General features: G+C 46.0%; 1 protein-coding gene across 40 annotated transcripts in view, besides 5 other annotated features; it reads left to right on the forward strand.

Annotated features, from left to right (window-relative positions):
- Window positions 1-24847, forward strand: part of TANC1 (tetratricopeptide repeat, ankyrin repeat and coiled-coil containing 1) — a 264020-nt gene that overhangs the window by 219572 nt on the left and 19601 nt on the right. For all 40 annotated transcript variants that reach the window (NM_001350065.2, XM_047446107.1, XM_047446108.1 and 37 more), the window contains 3 exons: window positions 6046-6282; window positions 8397-8582; window positions 10764-10842. In NM_001350065.2, the coding sequence (NP_001336994.1) occupies window positions 6046-6282; window positions 8397-8582; window positions 10764-10842 (502 nt within the window). The remainder of the gene's footprint in view (window positions 1-6045; window positions 6283-8396; window positions 8583-10763; window positions 10843-24847) is intronic.
- Window positions 7164-7333: an enhancer, noted in NCBI's record as "experimental_53596 CRE fragment used in MPRA reporter constructs". NCBI's record gives its function as "activates a minimal promoter by MPRAs in K562 erythroleukemia cells, with activity observed for the introgressed 2:160051971 or rs56157902 variant allele {active_cell/tissue: K562}" and the evidence as "EXISTENCE:reporter gene assay evidence [ECO:0000049][PMID:34662402]".
- Window position 7249: a transcriptional cis regulatory region, noted in NCBI's record as "Neanderthal adaptively introgressed variant 2:160051971 (GRCh37/hg19 assembly coordinates) or rs56157902 in the experimental_53596 CRE". NCBI's record gives its function as "modulates activity of the experimental_53596 enhancer by MPRAs in K562 erythroleukemia cells {active_cell/tissue: K562}" and the evidence as "EXISTENCE:reporter gene assay evidence [ECO:0000049][PMID:34662402]".
- Window positions 13397-13446: an enhancer, noted in NCBI's record as "active region_16683". NCBI's record gives its function as "activates an Ori minimal core promoter by ATAC-STARR-seq in GM12878 lymphoblastoid cells {active_cell/tissue: GM12878}" and the evidence as "EXISTENCE:reporter gene assay evidence [ECO:0000049][PMID:35858748]".
- Window positions 21612-21831: an enhancer, noted in NCBI's record as "active region_16684". NCBI's record gives its function as "activates an Ori minimal core promoter by ATAC-STARR-seq in GM12878 lymphoblastoid cells {active_cell/tissue: GM12878}" and the evidence as "EXISTENCE:reporter gene assay evidence [ECO:0000049][PMID:35858748]".
- Window positions 23136-23750: an enhancer, noted in NCBI's record as "OCT4-NANOG-H3K27ac hESC enhancer chr2:160067858-160068472 (GRCh37/hg19 assembly coordinates)". NCBI's record gives its function as "activates a minimal SCP1, AML or CMV promoter by ChIP-STARR-seq in naive H9 embryonic stem cells {active_cell/tissue: H9 hESC(naive)}" and the evidence as "EXISTENCE:reporter gene assay evidence [ECO:0000049][PMID:30033119]".

The following is a 24847-nucleotide window of genomic DNA, read 5'->3' on the forward strand; positions in this document are numbered from 1 at the left end:
CAGTAATTTTAAATTATGCATGCAATTAAGGAACTTTTTTTAGAGTGTATTAAATGTTGTCATACAGGAATGAATGTCATTTTGAACAATAATTGCAGTTTGCCACTTTGGTAAATTAAAGTGACTTGCTCTGGGATGATTACTTGGTAGATGGATTTTAGTTGCAGTGGCATGCCAGCAGTCTCTAACCATGTTGTCTCCTGTGGCCAGGCCAGGATGGGGCCAGCCTGGGCCCCGCTGGCCCACTGGAGTCCCATCCAGCCAGTGGTTTTGTTGTACCATCTCATAGGACTGGTGGCCAGCCGCAAGCTGTGGCCTCAGGAGGATTTAGGTTGCAGTTCTTTTCTCAGCTGACAACAGAAAGGAGAGGAGAACAGGAGCTAGGTGTGGCCTTTGGCCCAACTTCCCTTGGCCGGGAGATCCAGTCATATCCTACATCATAGTCAGGAAGGACACATTTTAAAACAATTGTGCTTGTGTGAGCTTCCAGTGTACTTAGTGGGAATGCTGATGCTGCCCTATGGCCACCCTGGCCAAGCCTCTTCTGGTCCTCATGATCGTATTGCCTCGCATATCCCCAGCTCCCTTCCTGTTTTCCTGTTTTCATTAAATCCAGAAGTTGAGAGATACCACCACTTCTGAGTGTTGTCCAAGGAGGGCTTCTGTGATCATGGTCGGAAAATTTCCATATCGTTGGGGGAAAATCTATAGGATGAATCATTTAAACAGGTTCCTTCAGCACAGTGCCGTCTCAGCCAAGACTGCTGCTCTGCCACCTGGCTGCTCTGTGACCATCATTAGCTTTGTGCTTAGCGCTCAGCTCGGCCTTACTCCCTCTGAGCCTTGGCTTTCTCACCTATAAAGTGGAGACACAAAAGAGGCTGTCTCTCAAGTGATGAGAAACCTTACTGAGATGTTAAAGGTACTGGGAACATACTTGGCATTTATTATGTTTACATGAATTGTTGTTAGTGCTTTGCCTCATCTCTGGAAACAGTGGCTCTGCTGTAGGCACCTGGGAAGTTTTGGATGTGCCAGTTGGTGCTTGTTAACAGGAGCTGCCGACCTTGAGGATGTGATGGTTGCAGGTGACTTACCTCTGCCCTCATCTCGGCATGAGGTGTCCCTGCTGCTCTGTGCTGGTGAACAGCCCAGGCTGGGCATGCAGGGTGATGTGGACAGGAGGGCAGAGCTCCCTCCTGTGCCTTCCAGAGGTCAGGGACCTGAGTTCTTGTCGTTTCTGAAGACTCCATGAAAGGTTGATTATAACATCGATTAATGTTTATTTAACATGTACAGATGCTGAGTGCTGTGCTAAATGCTTAATGCACATATATATACATACACTTTTTTTTTTACACATTGATTTTTAATCTTTACAACCACCAAGTGAAGTGAAACTTTTATCCTCATTTTTTTAGATGAGAAAACTGAGGTTTAGGGCAGTTGATACTTTCCAAAATCACACAGCTGGAAGGGCGCCTGACACTCAGCAAGCCCTTGCTCTGCAGGTGCCTTTATCACTTGATGTGTTTACAGCCCTGGCTGCCAGCTAAAATCACCTGGGAGCTCTGGGCACCACAGCCCCAGCCCCAGTTAAGTCAGAATCTCCAAGAGTGGGGCCAGGGTATTGGAAACTTTCAAGCTCCCAGGTGGTTTCAGTGTGCATCAAGGTTAAGAACCATAGTTTAGGGGAAGGTGATGGAGGGTTAAGTGGTAAAAATACGTACAGCATTACACCGACAAAGGAAAATGTTATTCCCAGAAGCAGAGGAAGTGTGAATTGATGACATCTTTAGGAAACCTCTGCCCTGAGCACATGCCTTCCAGGTAAACTCTTGTAAGGGATTCATCATGGTACTCCAAGTATACCTTCCACCATTATTAGCAAAAGAGTACCTGTTAGATAGAATGGGATGGCATGCTGCTGTTTTCTTAGGTGGCACCTAAAGCACAGAGAGGTTGAGGAATTTTCTGAAAATCACACAGTAGGTTAGTTTGGGGGCTGGCTGAGAACTCACACCACTTAATCCTTCATTTTTTAGGCCCATGGATCTCAAGAAGGTATGGGGTTGATGGGGGAGGACAGAATGTAACTGGCTGGCAAAATTATCCAGGGAATTTACAAATGATCCTGCCCATCCTGTGGCTAGCAGAGTCTGGTGTGCCCCTTGGTGGCATTGCGTGTATTTCCAGATGTGTATCTTCTCTACTCCTCTTGCTGAGGACTGGTTTCATTGGCCTTAATAAAATCCTATTTCTTCAGCATAATCTGATTCTGTCCACGCTGTTACTCAAAGGGATTTTTAAAACACTTTTATTATTTTATTTTTATTTTTATTTATTATTATTATTTTGAGATGGAGTTTTGCTCTTGTTGCCCAGGCTGGAGTGCAATGGCGTGATCTTGGCTCACTGCAACCTCCGCCTCCTGGGTTCAAGTGATTCTCCTGCCTCAGCCTCCCGAGTAGCCGGGATTACAGGCGTGTGCCACCGCAACCAGCTAATTTTTGTATTTTTAGTAGAGACTCAGTTTCACCATATTGGCCAGGCTGGTCTCAAACTCCTGACCTCAGGTGATCCACCCACCTCGGCCTCCCAAAGTGTTGGGATTACAGGCGTGAGCCACCATGCCCAGCCACACCTTTATTAATGTTGTAGCATAATGCAGTCTTAAAATGCTTTTGAATTAGATCAGAGTCTGGTGGCATTTTTAAAAAGCAAGCCTATATAGATCTGTAGAGCAGGCTTGGTGGGGATTAATTAAGTCATTTGCCTGAAGTTGCCCATGAAACAGCAGTGTTAGGACTGGACACCCTTTCTGATCTCTCATCCATTCCTCCACAAGTACAAGTTGACAGCGAGACCCTAGAGGCTGGGTTGGTGTTCACCTGGATCTGGCTAGACAGTGGTCTCTCTGATGGTGTAGACAGCGGGGTGGTGGTCAGGTGGTTGGCTGGCTCCTTGTCACTTGCACATGGCCTGTTCTTCCTTAAATGTAGATGGCAGTCCCAGCAGTGTGAAGAAACTGATGTGTGGGTCATCCCCATCCATGGAGGGGCTCTGTTTGCCTTTCTTCTCTGTGAACTTCTGTATCGTAGAACCAGTGTCTGGTGCAGTGGACTAAGCAGGAAAACAGAGCATGCTGAGGGATAGAGAGGGCCTGGGTGCACAGGGTACCCTCTCCCCCATGTCCTGGCACTGGAGCAGAGCCCTGCAGGAAGTGATTATATTTATGGAATGAGCATTCCAGTCAGGGAACTAAAAGGGGGTAAAGACCATGAGGCCGGCCCTGCTTGGCATTGTCACAGCACGTGTTGGGTCCAAGGTGGCTGCAGTGAGGGAAGGATTCTGCAGAGAAGATCAGAGAGGAAGCTGGAGGCCTGTATCACAGAGGTTCAAGCTTCAGCAGCCAAGACATCTTCAAATTTGACACCTGGGGTTCTAACCTGTCACTATGCCATTGTGAGTTATGGTTTCACTACTTGGTAGTATAATTTTCCAGACCCATTTGTTTGTAAATATTCTGTTTGTCAGCTACTCTTGTGGACATCTATCACTGAAATACCATGAAGTTTTTATGCCTTGTCATCTCTCTGTATCTTTTAATGATCCCCATGTGTCTCTAGTCAATAAATGATAGTCTCTGTGGTTTTCACATTTAGTGGGCAGGTGGAGGACCTGCCAGGCTTTGGCAGGGGCAGTGATTGATGTGGGTCAGGACCATTGAAGTAAGCCATTGAAAGAAACACACTGGGCATCTTAATAGCTGTTAAAGGAGCATCATTTGTATCTAATGATCTGAAGATCTGAAAAAAAAAATATTATTATACCTAAAATTTGCGTATGTTCAGTAATTTTATTTTAAAACCTGTAGATAAAAAGCTTTTCCCAATACCTAGATCCAGGGAGATTACTAAGTGGGGGATATAGTAATTAGTGGAAGCAGCACATTATTTTCTAGCAGTATTATGCTGCGGACAATCATGGCACATGTGGACATTTCCATATTTTCTGTTTCTTTTAGGAACACATCCCTATAAAGTATTTGTATTTACTTTTGGCCTTATCTCACTATTAACACCATGACTATTTTTTTCTTTTTAAAAACATTTTTTATAGAGACGGGGTCTTGCCATGTTGCCCATGTTGGTCTCAAACTCCTGGGCTCAAGCAGTCCTCCCTCCTCAGCCTCCTAACATACTGGGATTACAGTTGTGAGCCACTGCACCCAGCCACAATTATTACTTCATTACCAGGAAAATGAATTTCCTGGTTTTGTTGAGGTTAAACAGTGATTTTTCAAAGTGTGGTTCCCCAAACCAAGAGTGTCAATATCAACGAGGAACTTATTAAAAATGTACCACCCAGATATAATGAATCAGAAATCAGGGGGTGGGGCCCAAGAATTTGCAGTTGTTTAGGTTTTTTTTGTTTTTGTTTTTGTTTTGCTTTTGAGACGGAGTCTTGCTCTGTCCCCCAGGCTGGAGTGCAGTGACGTAATCTTGGCTCATTGCAGCCTCCACCTCCTGCGTTCAAGCGATTCTCCTGCATCAGTCTCCTGAGTGGCTGGGATTACAGGCGTGCGCCACCACGCTGGCTAATTTTTGTATTTTTAGTAGACACGGGGTTTTCACCCTGTTCTTCAGGCTGGTCTCGAACTCCTAACTGCAGGTGATCCGCCCGCCTCAGCCTCCCAAAGTGGTGGGATTACAGGCATGAGCCACCTTGCCTGGCTATTTGTTTAGTTTTTATTTTTAATTATGGTTAAGAAACACATAAAAGGAAATTTACCATCTTAACCATTTTTAAGTCTGCAATTCAGTAGTGTTAACAATATTCACATTGTTGTGCGATAGATGTCCAGTACTTTTCATGTTGCAGAATCAAAACTCTATATCCCTTAAGCAACAACTCTCATTTCCCCTGTGCCCAGGCCCAGAAACCTTCATTCTACTGTCTGTGAATTTGATTACTGTATATATCTCATAAGTAGTTTCACTCAGTATTTGTTCTTTTGCGTCTGGCTTGCTTCACTTATTTCACTTCCCCGAGGTTTACCCATGTTGTCACATATGGCAGGATTTTCTCCCTTTTTAAGCAGGAATAATCCATTGTATGTATATGTACCACATTTTCTTCATCCATCCACTGATGAACACTGAGGTTGCATCTACCTGTTGGCTGTTGTGAATAATGCTGCAATTAACATGAGGGTACAAATATGTCTTTGAGATCCTGCTTTCAATTCTTTTGAATATGTACCCAGAAGTGGGATGACTGATCACATGGCCGTTCTATTGTTATTTTTTGTTGTTTTGTTTTTGTTTTTGAGACTGAGTCTCACTCTGTCGCCAGGCTGGAGTGCAGTGGTGCAATCTCAGCTCACTGCAACCTCCACCTCCCGGGTTCAAGCGATTCTCCTGCCTCAGCCTCCCAAGTAGCTGAGATACAGGCACACACCACCACGCCCAGCTAATTTTTGTATTTTTAGTAGAGACGGGGTTTCACCATGTTGGCCAGATGGTCTCGATCTCTTGACCTCGTGATCCACCCGCCATGGCCTCTCAAAGTGCTGGAATTACAGGCGTGAGCCACCGCACCTGGCCTCTACTGACATTTTTAATTAAAAATTTTTTTTTTTTTAATTTTCACATCAGGGCCTTGCTGTGTTGCCCAGGCTAGAGTGCAGCAGGCTGTTCACAGGCATGATCATAGTGCACTACAGCCTCAAACTCCTGGCCCCAAGCAATCCTCCCACCTCAGCTTCCTGAGTAGCTGGGATTACAGTCACGTGCCTGGGGCAGTAGTTCTATTTTTAATATTTTGAGGAACCATCTTACTGTTTCCCAGTAAGCTACACTATTTTACATTCCCACCAATGAGAATGTGCATTGTTAATATATTCCCAGGTGATACTGGTGCACATTCAAGTTTGAGAACCACTGGATTAAAATGATACCGAAAATTGAGGATACTGCCCATTTCCAGAAATGTTTAGATGACATACATGTGACAATCTTGTTGGGGGGCCTTGTCCAACAGGTGAGCCGTCTCCTGATTTTGGGAGGGGCCAACGTGAACTACAGGACAGAAGTGTTAAATAATGCCCCAATCCTGTGCGTCCAGTCTCACCTTGGCCACGAGGAAGTTGTCACTCTGCTCCTGGAATTTGGTGCCTGCCTGGACGGAACGTCAGAGAACGGCATGACTGCCCTCTGTTACGCAGCAGCTGCTGGCCACATGAAGCTGGTGTGTCTGCTGACCAAGAAGGGAGTGAGAGTAAGCGGCAGCCTGCTCTTTTGGGGCTGGGGCAGGGAAATGGCTTCATCTCATTGCTAGAATTGTTATTTGCTGGGCCAGACTCTCTTGTCTCTGAAACCACAGCATACACAGAAAGGGTCGGGCTCCAGGGATTGGTCACTTTGTAATGTGGCAGCCTCAGAGAGGTTTGTTTTGCTCATACACAGCAACTCTGCTTAATGTTGTCCAGGGGAAGGCAGAATTCCAGGGAGACCCTGGCTCCTAGCCGCATGAGGAGGGCCAGCCTTTAAAAAGCCTGCAAGTATCGATCTAGAAAGCACCAAGATTGGTTTAAAATATTTTAAATGTTTGCTTTTTTCCCCTCTCTTCTTCTTATCCCATTTTATGTCCTTTTAAAACAGTAGGATGAGTTCCATGAACTCATGAAGAAGCCATGTGCCTGAGCTCCAGGAACTAGATTGCCTGGAATCTTCATCTTTCCACTTGCCAGCCCTAGGGTATTGGGCAAGTTATTGAGCCTATATATGACTTCAGGCTTCTTATCTGTAAAATGGGCATAACAGCAGTCCCTACCACAGGGCTGTTGAGTAAGCATTCAGTCATATATGAAGTAAGTATGTATTGCTATACAAGTTACTCTAGAGCGATCAACTTTTTTTTCTGTTTTGACAGTCTCACTCTGTCACTCAGTCTGGAGTGCAGAGGCATGATCTTGGCTCACTGCAACCTCCACCTCCCAGGTTTAAGTGATTCTCCTGCTTCAGCCTCCAAGTAGCTGGGACTACAGGCACATGCCACTGTGCCTGGTTAATTTTTGTATTTTTAGTACAGATGGGGTTTCACCATGTTGGCCAGGCTGGTCTTGAACTCCTGACCTCACATGATCTGCCTGCCTTGGCCTCCCAAACTGTTGGGATTATAGGTATGAGCCACCACGTCTGGCCAGGAGCTGTCAGCTTTAATAGGGTGAATGAGAATGATATCGAGCTCACAGTAAATGCTAGGTTTACTGGAAGCATTTTTTTGGGAAATGTGCCTTTTGAATAACAGTAGAGATAAACTGCTAATTATCTTTTGTCTTTTAATTAGGATATTTAAAGTTCAAAAAAATTAGGCTTATAACAGCTGTGGGAGATTTATTTTTTTCTCTCAAATCCAACATTTGGGACATACATAAACTTCAGTTCATGGAGAAGGAAATGTGTGGCTAAGCCTTTGGGGTGGGTATGTTACTGCTGCACATCACCGCACCTCCATTTACGGATGGCAGCTGGGCTTTACACTTTATTCTGAGGCCAGCAGGCCTCCCCCCATCACAGCTGAAAGCTCTGGAGTAGGAGGCTGAGTGCTATGTCAGGGGGCTCTGGCAAAGCCTCTGAATGAGGGTACAGGGCGTCCCCAGAGTTGGCAGGCATGCAAGGCTAGGCCCTGGGCTCTGCTCCCAGGCCCAGTACTCTGGGGTTTAGACAGGGCATGAAGGGCTGCCGCTGCTTTGGGGCCTTGAGGAGTAGGTGTGTGGCACTCACTCACTTTTTCTGCCTAGCTGGCCTGCCCTGACTTTGTGGCCGCCCCCCCTTTACTTGCCAGCATGCCCAGGCCACCGGCCTACATGAGACCTCCTTCCCAATCAGATGCCACTTGGACTCCTTTCCTGCCCTTCCACACTCAGCTGTTTTTCCACATCCCTCTCTTTCTTCGGATCCCCTGGCTCAGTGACCAGAGAGTGGCTCTACTCCTTCAAATTATAGCTTGTCACAGCAGACTTAGAATGCCCCACCCAAGCAACCAAAGTTGGGAAATACAGGGATTTGTCCGAGGTTTTGGTCTGTGTCTCCACACATGCTCACAAGAGAGTTAGGAGCTTTGTGTAGTTTGCTGCAGGGACATGGGAGTAAGGAGGGTGTTTTGTGACCCTGAATCTTGCAAAGGGAACCTGAGGCCTGGAATGGTACATTCATTACCATCTGGAAGTAATCCAGACTAAGGTTCCATGTTCTCCAGAAAGACAAGTTGGAATGTGAACCCCATGTACGCTTACAGGGAGTGGGGTTTGCACACAGCTAGGTGGTGCATCTGCATGCTCAGAGGCAAAGTAATGCTCAGCTGTAACCTTCCCCTACTCCTGCCCCCAGGTGGACCACTTGGATAAGAAGGGCCAGTGTGCGCTTGTCCACAGTGCCCTACGGGGCCACGGTGACATTCTCCAGTACCTGCTGACTTGTGAGTGGTCGCCGGGTCCTCCCCAGCCAGGCACCCTGAGGAAGAGCCACGCCCTGCAGCAGGCGCTGACCGCGGCGGCCAGCATGGGCCACAGCTCGGTGAGTGGGGCAGGGGTTTCCCTCCTGGGAAACAAGAAGCTGTAGCCCAGCAAGTCAGTTGACACACTGAAGGACCGAAAGAAGGAGGATGCCAAGAACTAGCATTTGGCGTTGACCACCTGCAGTAGAAGGTCTTCTATGGGCACCACATCCTTCCCGTGAGTGACAGTGCACACTCCTATGCACACGTGATGGGGACAGGCAGGCTTATTTTTCTATGGGAAGCCTTTTGATGACATTCACTCTCAGCTCTTCCTCATGTCTCTCCTCCTTCCCTGCTCTGCCCTCTAGACCTGCTGTTTTAAATTTTTTCCCCTTTGATTCGTTTCTTCTGTCCTTGTGTTCATTTAAAAATAATCACATAGAATCCTGATTCTAAAATCGTTCCTGAGTATTTGAAGGATTTTTAAAAATAGAGCTTTAATGCTTTGATAGCACACAAGAATGCTTGTCATTTACAGCTCCTCCACTGAATGAAAACTCCATGCAGTAGTTAAATAGAGCATTTATTTCTGACAGATGTTGGTATTCCTCAGTTTGAAGATTTAATTGTCACCTCCTGACCTGTGTGTCTTGGCTTTCTTTATCTGTGAATTTAATAATGTTTTGCTCGCTTCCTCCTGTGTATTTCTTACTCTGAATTATCTTCAAGCAATTAGAGGTGCCAGTATTTGGTAAGATTCTTTTTCTAAAATGACTTTAGTAAATTCGAGTGGGAAGCTGGCTGGCTGACTTTGGCATTCAAAACTCATGAGCGGACACACACACAAGCATGAAATAGTGGCTGGCTAATTTCTGGTTTAAACATTAAACACACACACACACACACACACACAGAGAGATACTGTTAAACACACATATGAAAATGTAGATGTTTTCCTTTTTTTAAGTGTGAAAAGTCATCATTGGGAGGACCATGAATGCCTAGGAATGACCTTGGTCTTAATCCATGCTAACCCCCTTGTTTTAAAGCTGGTTGGGAGGAAATGCTGAGCGAAAATCACCTCAGCACAGCCAGTAGGGTGAAAAAAGCAGGGTTTGTTCACCATAAGACTTGGAGGGTATGTTAGTTTCCTAATGCCATTATCACAAATAGATGCAACCTTAGTGGCTTAAAGCAGCACACACTTACTCTTAGAATTCTGATGGTCAGAAGTCTAAAATCACACTATTGGGAGGTCAGCCTTCCTTCTGAAGTCTCTAGGGGAGAACCTGTCTCCTTGCTTTTTCTCAATTCTTGAAGCCACCTGTATTTTTTAGCTCATGGCCCCTTCCTCCATCTCCAAAGTGCCTTACTTTCACCTTAGCCTCTGTCGTCTCATTTCCTCTGTCCTCTGACCTGGACTCCTCCTGTCCCTCTTAAGAGGATGGTTGTGATTGATTAGATCAGGTGTGTATCAGATATAGACCTTGATAATTTGAGATAATCGCCCCATTTCAACATTCATAATCACATCTGCAATTCCTTCTTGCCCTGTAAGGTCACATTCACAGGCTTTGAAGATTGGGATGTAGACATCTTTGGGGGCCATTATTCAGCCTACCACAAAGGGTGTGGGCTAGGAGACTGGAAGGTGGCTTTGTCGTGTTCTCCCGTTGCTCGCTGCTGTTGCTCAGGGTGAACGCCGGCTCAGGTCCAGGGCACAGATGCCTTGTCTCCCTGCAAGCCAGGCTTCCTGCCTCCATACCTGTGACTTGACCCGCCCTTTGACAGGAAGAGTCCCATAAGGGAAAAAGAATAATGCTACCAGCAGAAAATGTATTTGAACAATACTTTGTAAAAATTTGCAAAAACGTATATCGCTTTGTTTTCCTTCCTTGTGAAAAACTGATTCACTATCTTGTGATTTATGCAGAAACTGCACTTTGTGTGATCTGCCATGTCCTTTGTTGATTAGGCTGGCATATTTGGGTCATGTTGGAATTCATTAGAATTCTGAGTACCTAGTAATCCTGAACCATATTGCTGAAATTCACTGAGATTTTTTTTTAATTCTTCTCCAACTGAAAGTGTGAATAGCATATGAATTATGCTTGAAAACAGTTTTCATTATATTTTTCTCTCCTTGGGCAGTGTGAGATAATGGTTAAAAAACAACACACTGTCTCCTTTGATACATGGGCTATAATAAGCACCTCTTGCTAAGAGAACTCATTAAATCACCTTGCCACTTCTGACAGGTGGTCCAGTGCTTGCTGGGGATGGAGAAGGAACATGAAGTAGAAGTCAATGGCACCGACACATTGTGGGGAGAAACAGGTAATTATAATGCCACTGCTTGTAGTCTGGGGCAGCTTGCTTGATGTTTTAGCCCTATTTTGGCCTAATTGTCTTAAGAATGACTGATATATGTAGTCCTGTTTCTATTTTATCACAAGCATTTGAAGTTTAGAGCTCCTTGAACTTTCTACATGAGTAGCAAAACTTTGCTGGAAGCGTAAGATTTTATTTTTTAAAGCAATCCTATTAACTGATTATTTTGAATTAGACTAGCAGTTACGGTACATCTGATGAATGTCAGATGGAAGTACCTAACTAAGGTGTTGTTTTCTGATTTGCCAAATCTCACACATCTAACCAATGTGATCTTCCTGTGACCTGTGCATGGCGAGCCAGGCATGAACTTCTGTCCCCATCGTCACACGAATCAAAGGCGGCTCAGCACAGAAGGCAGTGGCCTGCCCTGCCCTGTACAGAATGAGGGTAAAACTCAGCCTCGTGGGGTTTACTCACATTACCGTACGAATGCAAGCTATCGGGTCATTTCCATTGGTCTTTACAGTGAGAAGCCTGGGCTGAGCACATCCTGGTGAAGATTTGAGCTGGTTACTTGTGAGACTAAAAGTAATGCTGCTTTCCAGTTTTCCACTTGACTGGATTAGTGTTAGAAATCTAAGACTTTAAATTACAAGTTGTTTTTAAATAGATGTCAGCATGAGTATTTAAAATGAATTTCCAGGTTATGTTTCTGTGTGTGTACCTGGTATATATGATTTCCATTTTTCTTGCACAGATTTGTTTCCAAATGCTTCTAAATTATTTCCTAATAAGCCAAATGGTGGTGTGAAGAGCTTATTAGATAGCTCACCCTAGGGGAAAGCCACAGAGCTTCACCTTCTGGCAGGAGTGCAGGCCTGTCCTTCAGAGCCTCACAGCTGTTTGTTCCATCCCCTTTGTGGGTCCAAAGAAGGAGCTGGGTGTGCTCCCAGGCGCAGAGAAAGTACAGAATTCCAGCGGAGTTGGATTATGTCTACGGGTAAAAGTATGTGGATTGAAATATTGCCTAATTCTTTATGGAGTCCTTCCCCTTCCCTTTTAAACAGTATAGGCTGCTCTATAATTTGGTGAAAGAAAAGTTTCCATCACATTCCAAATGATGTGGTGGGCAGCAGTGTTGCTGAGTGGATAAGAGCATGACTGCTGACAGCCAAAAGGTCCAAACCCCTGTTCTTTCATTGCCTAGTGATAAGAGCCTCCTGGGGCACTTGGGCTTAGACATTCTGATTCACTAGGGGGAAAGCCCAGGATTTGATTTTCTTAACAAGCATCCCAAGTCATTTCAGGTTACTCCTAGCTCCCTGCAGAGCTGTCTAGAAAGCCTGACATAGGGTGACACACAGTGAGAGGTACCCATGAAGACGATGGACATCAGGTCTAGCAGCCATGACATCACACATTTAGCTCAAGTGAGAATTTCTAACATTTTAATATTCAAGATGACTTTTTTATTTGGAAGAAAATTCCAGAGAAGGGCTGACTTTGAAGGCTTTGTTTGAGCTCTCTTCTCTCAATGACCAGTCCTGAATTGCATTATCATCCTGCTTGAGAATCTGCCAATCAGTTGATGGCTAAAGACACACATGAGAAACAACAGACTTCCCACCAGTCTTTATCTAGATCAGAATTCTTGGCACAGTTTGGCTGGATTCTCTACTTCAGGATCTTACCAGGCTCCTAATTGGGTATTGGCTGGGGCTGTGTTCTCGTCAGAGACTCCACTGGGGAAAGACCCACTTCCAAGCTCTCAGCTGTTGGCAGAATTCATCTCCTTGTAGTTGTCCCTTGGGTCTTAATGAAAAGGTAAACAGTAACTTGGCCCCTCCCTTCCAAAGCCTCATGAGTAACCTTCAGACCACTTTGCAACCTGGGAAGCAGTTCACACTCTTCCTCACCAGGCATCAGGGTGAATTTCATCAGGCAAGAGTTTACTTGAGACGTTTGTTAAAATTTAAAGCAAGAAGAGGCAAGCTAAGTGCTGTTTTTCAGGCTTAGCCACAGTGGCTTTCTGTGGACTGCATGTCAACAAAATCCACCTTGCCTTCTCTGCATTTTTCTGTCTGGTACCTTTCTCTTGTGCCCCTTCAAAGACAACCACTATCGTCTACTGCCCCAAGCCTTCCTACTTTCCAGGCCTGCATTTGTCAGAGGAATACCCTGAAATCTTGCAGGGGGTTTCAGCTGAGAGAACATCTGCAAATATAGGTCCTTACACAAATGTATACTGCATGCTCTGGAATGTGACATCCCGTGTTTTGGGATTTGGCCACGTGGGGTCTGTTACCGACCCTAAATGTGGGAATGAAGGCAGATGAGGCATCGTACAGAGAACTGAAGGCCTTGAGAGTGAATGGGTCAGCTCACAGTCCTGGTTCTCACCAAGGCTCAACTTCAAGCCATGGGCCCCGGGATTCCCCAGCCTGTGTGGCTGTACTGCTGTGTGCATTGTTGCTCGTTGCTATAGGGACCCACAGAAGGGAAAGTAGTGGTTTTGCATCCTGTTCTCGTTTGGTCCTCATTCCTGGGTGTAGTCAATGGTGTTTTGTGTCCAAAACACTCTAGGATGGACTGTATCTGTCCCTAGCCACAGCACAAGGATAGGATCCCAAGAGTAATACTTATCTGGGATATGGGAAGGTGGCAGAAAAACTGGAAGCTTTGTGTGGATAACAGTTCATTATTTATTTTGAAACCTTAAGTATGTTTACACAAGTCTGTCCAGCATAGATTTAGCTGTGAACAGCTTGGCTTTAAAATGCTAGCTGATGAGGTGACAAGGCAGAGCTTCCTCGTCTGTTTTGACTCACCTGCCTGCCTTTGAACAGCCTGTGGTTTTCCTGCAGGGATACCCCCGTTAGGAGGACAGCTACCTGCCCATCTCTTCTCTGCCATTGCCAGAGCCAGTGGCGCAGGAGCTTAAATTCACGCACAAATTCTTCCTCCAGTTTTCTGCTAGGAGAGCCTTGCAATTCAGTGAATCTATTCCACATGGCAGAAGTGTGGTTGTCGTGCCTGTTGCTGATTGGAAGCATTGGGTTCTTGGTTAAGAATGACGGCCACCAGCCAGGGAACAGCAGCCCCGTGGAGGTCCCCCTCACTCAGGCCGTCAGTGTGGTGGCACTGGGCACAGCAGCAGCCCTCCACCCTTAGAGCCCTGCACATCTGACTGCTGGTGACCCTGAGTCAATGAATGTCATCACAGAAGTAGGTGGCTCCTGTGTTAGGTTGAAGGAGACAAGAAAATGTACAATAGAATTTTAAGACGTTCATAAAAAATGGGAACAGTATTTAGTTTAGGGTTTAGGGGTTTATTGCAATCAACCCACAGCCTTTAGAAAACTTGCAGACTGTCTCTACTGGTTTTGGAGAGCAGAGGGCTTAACTTGTTTAAGTTTCTGTTTTCACCAGCATCCAGGACCATTTGGTTTTTGTCTGTCCAATGTTTAGGGACCAGCCATTCAGAACTCAGTTCTGTCGTTCCAGTAGCTCTCAAGCTCTCCCTCTCCCCATGCATCCTCCCCACCCTCAAACAAAAGGCCCTAGTGGAGAATAAGTAGTATGATCCATTCATCAGAAGAAAGCTCAGAGCAGATGATGAATGCCTGCATCTAACAGTACCACCCTCAGGATGCCAAGGCTCTTGGCTCGGTGATATTCACAGACTCAGTCAGTGTCTGTTCCGTAGTTTCTCGGCAGCCTGAAACATGGTGAGAACCCACCAGATGCTTATGGCATCTGTTTCAGGCATTCCACAGCTGTGACAACTCCATGCTGCCTCCCAGAAAGTTCTGGCTACACTGAGTTACTATCTCCATGTCAGTGTTTGCTGTGAATCAGCCCAAGCCGAAATGACCAGAGATGCTTAGCTGGTGACCTCATGCTGCTGTGGATTGGCAGAAGGACTGTGTTTGCAAGTTCCAAGCCACACTCAAGTGTGTGAGCCTGCTTGTGGGCTTCTGGTTAGAACCTTGCTCTGAATAGAAGAGAACAGAGGCCCTTCTGCTCCAGCACTTGCCATTCAGGCAGATGGTCCTGTCTGGTATCAGAGCCTTAACCCTCTCCACTCCCTTGGCTCACTCTCCAGTTCCCTTCGTAGGACTTACCATCAGTACATCTTATTCGATAGGCTTTTCTTTTCTTTTTTTTTTTTTTTTGAGATGGAGTCTCACTGTGTCACCAGGCTAGAGTGCTGTGGTGCAATCTTGGCTCACTGCAACCTCCAACTCCCTGGTTCAAGGGCTTCTCCTGCCTCAGCCTCCCGAGTAGCTGGGATTACAGGCATGCACCACCACGCCAAGCTAATTTTTGTATTTTTAGTAGAGATGGGGTTTCACTGTATTGGCCAGGATGGTCTCCATCTCCTGACCTCATGATCCACCCACCTCGGCCTCCCAGAGTGGTGGGATTACAGGTGTGAGCCACCACGCCCAGCCTTGATAGGCTTATTTGATGTGGCTTATTTGATAGGAGGCTGCTTTTCCCAAATTGTGAGCTTTTTTGGGTTTGTTTTTTGAGACAGGGTCTCACTCTGTCACCCATGTTGGAGTGCAGTGGCACAATCACAGTTCACTGCAGCATCTGCCTCCCCACACTCAGGTGCTCCTCCCACCTTGGGCTCCTGAGTAGCTAGGACTACAGGCATGAGCCACCACACCTGGCTAATTTTTGTATTTTTTTGTAGAGATGCAAAACATGGGGATTCGCCATGTTGCCTAGGCTGGTCTCAAACCCCTGGGCTCAAGCAGTCCTCCTGACTCAGCCTCCCAAAGTGCTGGGATTACAGGCATGAGCCACCACACCCAGCCAGTCATGGGCTTTGTGAAGGCAGAAATTTCCCTGTCTCTTGTCCACACCATTGTGTATGGCAACCGTCCGTTCTAGTGCTGCCCAATAGAACTTTCCGTAATAATGGAAGTGGTGTCTGTTTTGTCCAGCATGGTAGCTACTAGCCACATGTGGCTATTGAGTACTTGAAATGTGACTTGTGCAACTGAGGAACAATAGTTTAAAATCTCATCTTAATTTATCTAAATTACATGTGACAGGTGGCCACCAAATTGGACAGTGCAGGTATAGCCTGGTCCTTGTCATATAGGTATTGACCAAGTGGACAAGTGGATTTAAATGAAACAAAGTCATATTTTTAGTGAGGGAGATGTTCACTTGCAGAATAATTTGGGAGAAATACCTGTGGTTGGAGGGGGAGCAGTAAGGGGCCTGGTCACTCATAAAGACCCAGTGTCCTGATTTCTTGGTGTCCTAGCTCAGACCATGCTCTGTTGGACTCCAAGATGGCTCAGATCCTCTCGCCAAGTCCTCGGTGGGGCACCTGTGCTGAAGGCATGGTGGGCTGCTGGTTTGGATCTTTGGGAACACAGCTAATAGCCAAGCATGGTGTGGGCATAGCCCCATCTGTGTCCATAACATCTCCCTCTCTGCAGCCTGGGTGTGCTGTGTCCTCATGCTGGTCTCTGGCAGTCGTCCTGCCCTGTCGTGGTCACCTCCTCAGAGGTCCTTCTGTTTGAAAGAAGGTCGCCAGCACACCCAGAGCCCCATGCTTCATGCACAGGACGCTGGCGGCTCCCCAGGGCTACGCTTCCCTAATTTCTGGAAGGGGATGCCCTATCGGAGTTGGTTAAAAGTGTGACTGAAATACTTCATGTGAAGTGTTTTTATGTTAAGTCAGTAATATTTTAATTGTTGAATACTTTCTAAAGGAGTTTAGTCAGGTAAATAATTTTTATTGTCAAAGCTACTATTTGCCTCTGTTCAGATGGGCCAGATTTTCTCCGCTGTGAATTGAATGGGCTATTTAGCTGCGTCGTAGGCCTCCCTTTGTGTAGCGCATTGAAGCAATTCCACTTGGCATGTGTGCTCACCGTAGTTTACTGTTCACTAATTCTGGATGGAATTTTGGACAGAACCTGCTCCCTCTGGATCTTGAGCCTCAGGCAGTGCCCTGCAGCTGGGGTGGGTGTTTCCAGGCCCCTCTTGGGGGTGGGGTCCTCACACCTGTTTCCAAATTGGGCTGCGAAGCTGGGTCCTGTTGTATTTGACACTTTGATGATTTTCGTTTCCCTCTTGTTTCCATGGGACTGCTTTCCTTTCCCCTTTTGTGGCTCTTTTGGCTTCAGTCACAGGGAGGCCCCAGGCGTGGACGGTGGGCTTCCCACATCCAAGGCTGCCCCAGAGCACAGGGAGCTGGATGCCTAATTACTGTTGGTGTAAAAATGACCCGTTCTTCATTTGAATTTACCTTAGGCATTTTGGAGAGAGAAGGGGCTGTTCTTTGGTAAGAATGTAAAATAAATGTCAGGCCTACTGGATTGAGCCTTGCAGTCACATATACAGCCATCCCCCACATAATGATGTTTCTGTCAGCGATGGACTGCATGTGAGAAGGTGTTCCCATACAATACTGTGTCTTTATTTTTTCTATGTTGCTACTTTTTCTATGTTTTGTTACACAAGTACCACCGTGTTACAGCTGCCTACAGTATCCACTACAGTAACAGGCTGTACAGCTTAGCAGTTTAGGAGCAAAAGGCTGTACCATATAGTCTAGGCATGTAGTAGGCTACACCATCGAAGTTTGTGTAAGTCCACTATGTGGTATTAGCACAATGATACAATCACCTAACGACTCATTTCTCAGGATGCATCCCTGTCATTGATGATGTGTGGCCTTTCTCAGGAAGTATCCACCTCATTAGGTGATGCATGCACATCTCAGGACAGAATTTCAGGTGAGAGATTGGAAGGAAAGCGTTTGCCCATGGCTTGTTGGGGCATGTGGAGAATATGTGTTACATGGAACGCACATGGAGGATGCTGTAGAGAAAACTGCGACTTGCTGTCGTACACTGAAGATACTGGATTTTTCAGAGGTCCTGAGCATCTCACCAGTACTGGTTTTGGAAATTTTTTATCAAGGCATTCCTTCCTCTGCAAGTGTTTGTTCTAAGAAGGTTCAGTAAGATTAGTGGGCATGGAAGTCCAGACTGCTGTCAGTCAGAACTATCCTCGGCAAAGCAACACGATGGGGAGTAAGCCAGTACCCTCAAGGGTGCGTGGGAGGGACCACCCAGGATCCTGAAAGGAGCAAGATGGGGTGGGGTGACCCTGTGCCCTGTAAGGGGAGGGACAAAGTGGGGTTACCAACATGGAAGGGGTAACAGGGCTCTGGATGGAGGAGGATGTGTATGGGGGTCCTCCAAACAGTGGAGGCAGATAGGGGATCAGAACTGAGGGGGCTGGGTTTGTCCATACCCTATCCTCCTGGTCTCACAGACCCCTGGGTTTTGCCCCTGATGTGGGTGGGTTCCGGAGACCACTCCTCTCTGCGAAGAAGGCAGAGGGGTCAGGTCAGCATGTCCCCGCCCTGTAGGGCAGGCTGAGTGGCCAGCAGTGAGCAGGTAGAAACCCAGGGGTGGTGTCTCAAGCACGAACAAATTAGCCCCTTGACCACCTTCATCAAGCTGTTCTTGCTGTACAGAGTCCATTTTTCTAGTGAGTGATTCCTGAGTATTTAATAAAAAATACTTCTGCCTTCAACAGAAAAATGTATTCATTCATATTTTGGGAAGGATTACACTCCCACAGAAAAATCATCCTTGTTTCTTCTTGAAATGATATTTGGATTCTTTCTGTGTTTTGGGGGCCAGATGTGAGGTTGTGTAAAATGCTTTTGTGGAAATGCCCCCTTTTTACACTGAGACCTCATGTGGTGTCCTGGCATGTAATGAAGTCCTCAGCACAAGCTTAGCCCTTACCGAGAGGAGAGAGAGAACCTTATGCCTGCTTTAAATAACTTGGTGTGTAACCCAGCCTTCCACATGCGAACATTCTCAGCACACTTTAGAAGTGACAGCTGTCCAAAGGTCCGGTCTTCTCATGGATTCTTAGAAGAACAAAGTCTGTATGAAAGATGGCTTATGTTGTTGATCTTTTAGGAAATTATTTTTAAATTGAGGTTACATTATTTATAGCACACACATTATTCCTCAAAGGATTTGAAGAGACTTACTTGAAATGATGCAGATAAGAACTTTAAAACACTAAGTCAGGAATAGGACATGAGGAACCGCTCAAACATTCGTGCCATGGCATACTAAATTGAGCTACTACTGTGGCTGTGGAATGCCATGTGGCCAGAATTAGAGGGGAACACAATCCTTGTAAACCATTTTTATTGTCCATGGGAGAAATCGCAGCAGTTCCTCAGAAAAAGAGAAGCACTTTCTGGTACTTTCATTCTAAACAACTCTCATAGAAGGCTGTTGGATGCTTTAGATATTTTTAAAGGTGACTTCCTGGAGGCAGCATTGTAGGAGCTAAGAACTCAGACTGGCCAGGTCCAGTGGCTCACGCCTGTAATCCCAGCACTTTGGGAGACTGAGGCGGGTGGATCACGAGGTCAGGAGTTCAAGACCAGTCTGGCCAACATGGTGAAACCCCGTCTCTACTAAAAATACAAAAACTAGCCAGGCGTGGTGGCGGGTACCTGTAATCTCAGCTACTCAGGAGGCTGAGTCAGGGAATTCCTTGAACCCAGGAGGCAGAGGTTGCAGTGAGCCGAGATCGCGCCACTGTACTCCAGCCTGGGCGACTGAGCAACACGTGTCTCAAAAAAAAAAAAAAAAAAAAAAAAAAAAAACAACTCAGACTTAGCCACACTCCCTCTAGCTGTGGGACCTTAAGTAAGTGGTTTAATTTCGGAGGCTTATTTTCCTCATCTGTAACAGAGAACTAAGAGTAGTGCTTGCCTCATAGAAGTTGATTGTGTTCACTGAATTTATGAATATGGAGGACCAAGAGCATCGTGTAGGCAGCCCTTTACAAATGGCATGGTATGTTATTTAAATCCAATAGCATCTTCCTGTTTTAATCAAGAGCATGACTTCAGGTCCATTCAGTTGCTTGGGTTAAATTTCTGATACTGACACTGATTCCCTTTGTGATTTGGGGCAGATGATATAACCCCTGTGACTCAGTTATTTCACCTCAGTAACATGGGCATCATCATGACACCTGGTTCAAAAGGTTCTTAACAAGATTAAATGAGAATCCACCCAGGGTATTTTGTGCAGCTCTCAGCAGTTGATACGTGTTGATACAATGCTATGTATTGTCAGGGTTGTGATAAGTTGATTAATATTATTAATATAATATGTTAATGTATGCTATACATTTGTCAGTTGAATAAGTGGATGTATAAGTGATGGAATCTTCAATTTTGCAATTACTTTGGAAGATGGAGTCATAAGTGAAGGATGGAAAAGAAAGGAATTTTGATCACACACATGAAGTCCTGTTTACAGGTGCAGTTACACATTTTATTTTTTAAAAGAAGTTGGCAATTTGAGGTTCCTGTTTAATCTTGAATGCACATACAGGCTGACAGTGTTTTTACAGTAGAGTTTGTAACATGGTCAGGAGTGTTCTGGTTACCCAGATTTGGATTCTGCCCTGTATTCACCTCTGTTAGATAGCTCGGTGAAAATGGGTTCATGTCTGTCGGCAGAGGGAGCCACATTTTTCCATGATGCTTGGTTGATGCCTGTTGCCTTATAACACAGAATCCCCATACTTGGCTCCAGCCAGGCTGCTTCTGCAGGCCCCATCATGGCCATTGGGAGATCTGGCCCTCCTGGGAGAGTTTTGCCAATGGGAAACAATAAGGAAGGTGTTCAAAACCACAACTTTTTAAATTCGTGCATGAGATAGTTCTGAGAGATGCATCCTTAGGCGATTTGGTCATTGCGTGAAAATCCTCCAGTGTACTTACACAAGCCTGGATGGCACAGCCTATTGCTCCCAGGCTCCAAGCCTGTACAGCATATTGCTGTACTGAATACTGTAGGCAGCTATAACACAAAGGTAAATACTTGTGTGTCTAAACATGTCTAAACATAGAGAAGGTATAAAAATATGGTATTATCATCTTATGAGACCACTGTGCTATTGTATACGCAGTCTGTCGCTGACTGAAACATCATCACACAGCATGTGACTGTACCTGGGCAGTGCTGGCTTCCATTTGTGAGGTCACTGAGCAGCAGCGCCCCAGCCTGCAGAAGCTTCAGTTGAGGCTGGCAGTGTTGGAGGCTTGTCCCAGACACCAAGGCTTGGGGTGTTTGTCTCCCAGTGCAAGTACAGTTTTCTGGAAGAGCCATCTTGATTACCTTTCATTTTATCCTTTAAATTGTTGAGGATTAGGTTAGATAACTGCCTTGTCTTTGTAGAGGTGAAAAATTTATAGCTCTTGGAAAGTATGTTCTTCTTTCTAATAGAAGCCTTCCCCTCGCTCAGAGACGGGAGGAAATGCCTAACAAAGAACACAGTGAAGCTATGAAATTTGGCTTCTGTAAATCTTAGTCCTATTTCTAGAAGGTGGGGCGGGGAGGCAAGGCACATTGCCTGGCCTTTTGGGGAAAGGTTGCTGCTTTCAGCCAGGGAATGTGGGGGCCAGCTTCCCTGAGGCCCTCAGTGTGACGGCCGAGCTCCCAGTGGCAGCAAAGCGAGCCTGACCGGTCAGCCGCCATATAGCCACTTAGAGTCAGTTACCAAGGCAGGGTGGGCAGTCATTCCCAGAGTTTAAAAAAAAGAAAAAATCCTAAAATCCCTCATTACATTTTACCATTGAGATAAAGTAGCTGAGAAATGTGCAGTGTGTCAGGCACACTCTTTCCTGGTGTTCTCTGCCTTTACAGTTGAGCAGGGTGTGGCCATCGGGCCTGCCACTGAGGGTCAAGCATCACTGCCTTCACCACATCTCACAGTTCTCACCTTGGCCACAATTAGATGACATTTGTGAGGACCCTGCTGCTTTCAATTAATGTTGACACTCATTTTTTTCATTTTCCACTCATTTTTTAAAATATGGGAGAGGCCAGGATAATAGGAAGTAAATTGCACATGTGAATACAAGCAAGTAAATTGCACATGTGAATATAAGCATACAAGCAGAGCCCAGCCGCCCTGCCCTGCCCTGCCCGCAGTGCCCTCTCAGCTAGCAGGAAGTGGGTTCTGCAGGTACAAGCTGTTCTCTGGAGGTACTCAGTTCCAGTTTGCAGAATGGTTTTCATACATCCGTGGGTAATGCATGAAAAGGTCATAGTCTGCCAGCGGGAAGCAGCTTCTGTGTGCGCTGACCCTGCCGCCCTTCTCTCCAAGCCCCCAAGTTGGGTCCAAAAGCAAATGTGGGTGGGAATACAGACCCATTGTTGTGATCTGTAAGCCAAGCGATCCTGAGCCTGGGGAGCACATCCTGTGAATTTGAGTGACAGATCTGCTTTAAAATTTTAGGAATAGCCCTGTTTGTGGAATGACTGTGTCCCCGGCAAGTTGACAATTGAGTTTTTGCAAATCAAATCTTTTCCCAGAGAACTTTAATATATAAGAGATTCCTGCAAACCATCCATTTTATGGTGCAAAAAGCTCTCTCACTGCTGTTTCCAATACGTTCAGATTGTTGTCAGGTTTTGTTTGTTTGTTTGTTTTTTGTTTTTTTTTGAGATGGTGTCTTGCTCTTTCACCAGGCTGGAGTGCAGTGGCGAGATCTCGGCTCACTGCAAGCTCTGCCTCCTGGGTTCAAGTGATTCTCCTGCCTCAGCTTTCCCGAGTAGCTGGGATTACAGGAATGTGTCATCACGCCCAGCTAATTTTTGTACTTTTAATAGAGACAGGGTTTCACCATGTTGGCCAGAATGGTCTCGATCTCTTGACCTCGTGATCTGATCTGCACGCCTCGGCCTCCCAAAGTGCTGGGATTACAGGCATGAGCCACCATGCCTGATCTTTTAATTTTTTTTTTTTTAAGATGGAGTCTTGCTCTGTCGCCCAGGCTGGAGTACAATGGCACAATCTCAGCTCACTGCAACCTCCGCCTCCCAGGTTCAAGCGATTCTCTTGCTCAGCCTCCCAAGTAGCTGGGATTATAGGCGCGTGCCACCACTCCCGGCTAATTTTTGTATTTTTAGTAGAGGCAGGGTTTCACCATGTTGGCCAGGCTGGTCTTGAACTCCTGACCTCAGGTGACTTGCCCGCCACAGCCTCCCAAAGTGCTGGGATTACAGGCATGAGCCACTGCACCTGGCCAGTCAGGTTGTTCTTAAAATGAACGTCTGCCATTACAAACCTACTTGCCTTCTCAAGACAGGACAGTGTTGCTGAGGTATGTGCTTTCATGGGAATCTAATTCACAAATGCCATCTTGTTAAGGATTTTACAACTAGAAGAAATTGTGTCCAATTTGAGTCCTAAAAAGTGCCATCTGTTCACGTTGATTTTTGAGCTCCCATTTCATACCAAGTCTTTTTTTCTCCATCTTTGTATTTCATTGGCCAGAAGGCAAGGTACTGCCCATAGCAAGGCATTCTCTTCTCCTGCCCTCCCCTGCCCTCTTTTCCTTCGGGTCAGGTGGGGTGCATTAACCCTCACTGGAGCCTGGTGGGCAGCACCAGAGGTCGGCCTTTGCAGCAGAATAGCTGGAATTCCTGAGCATAATTTAGCCATGGTTCTGTTTGCTTAAGCATGTGGGTGGCTATTCTTCAGTCTCTCTTGTGTTCGTAAGTCCCTGTGGCTGCTAAAACTTGAGATCCCCTGAAAATGGCAGAGCCTCAGGAGTTCGCCGTGATGGCCCCAGAATACTCAATCTGCTTAGAAAAAGGAAAACACAGATCTTGTTGTCTGTCTGCATCATTTGTAAACGAGAGCCTTGTCAGGAATTTGTGTGTAGAACGTGATCTGTTTTAAGCCTGAGCATAGTCTGCCTGTGCTTACAGGTTTTTAGTTGCCTCAAGAGGGAGTCACCAAATACATAGCAAGGGTTGTGAAGGAAAAGGAGGACAGGGTCCAACCCAGTTGCCATGCCCGGGGTGGCGCACTCGCCCCTTGTCAGTTGCTCCAACTTGTGGTTTCTCTGATGCCCCTGTGAAACAGAGGTCCCTATTTTTAGTGCTGGACTGTCATTTCTGATGTGCTGCTGTTGCAAAAATTCAGTAGCAGCTTTAACAGAAATCCTGATTTAAAGGCCCCGTTTATAATGTAGATGAAGCTTGTTTACCAAATAAAAGAGCAGAATGCTGTGGTGGATTGGCTGCTTCAGATCTCATCAAATGGAAGAGTCCTGTGTTTATTCCTTTGCATGGCATCATGCAAAGGCCCTGCCTCTGCGTGGAGCCCATGCGTCTTTGTTTTGATTCATTCCTTCTTCTGGTCAACCAGGGAGAGGAGGAAGAGGGAGTTGTTCCTTGCCTAGAGGAAAATGGCAGAGCAGCAGCAGATCCAGGTAGTGGTTCAATACCCAGATCTTCTAGCGTAAGAATCATGCGTGTTCAGGGTCACGATCAAATCAATCCAGAAAATGTATATTGTAGGAGAGGAAGAAATCACTTCATCCCTACCCTTCACAGTTCTTGGGACAGACTGCAGCAACGAAAGACAGATTAACACAAACAGAAGTTGAATAGTAGGTATATCTTGTGTTGTATCCATGGGAGATACCCAGAGAAATGAGTCAGTGTCCAAGAGGTGGCTTAGATTTTAGGCTTAAAAACCATCATCCCGGCTGGGCATGGTGGTTCACGCCTGTAATCCCAGCACTTTGGAAGGCCAAGGCAGGCAGATCCACGAGGTCAAGAGTTGGAGACCATCCTGGCCAACATGGTGAAACCCTGTCTCTACTAAAAATACAAAAATTAGCCAGGCGTGGTGGCACATGCTGTAATCCTAGCTACCCAGGAGGCTGAGGCAGGAAAATGGCGTGAACCCAAGAGGCGGAGGTTGCAGTGAGCCGAGATTGTGCTACTGCACTCCAGCCTGGGTGACAGGGCGAGACACCGTCTCAAAAAAAAAAAAAAAAAAAAAATTTCCCTGAAACAAAGATAAATGGTTTGGGGAAGGCCAGTTATGGGGAGGTACCCAAGAAAAGCAGTTAACAAAGGTAAGGTTTGAGAGCCAGATTCTCCACTGATAGAAATCTCTA

The sequence above is a fragment of the Homo sapiens genome, chromosome 2 (genome assembly GCF_000001405.40).
Source record: "Homo sapiens chromosome 2, GRCh38.p14 Primary Assembly".
In the NCBI taxonomy this organism is placed as follows: Eukaryota; Metazoa; Chordata; class Mammalia; order Primates; family Hominidae; genus Homo; species Homo sapiens.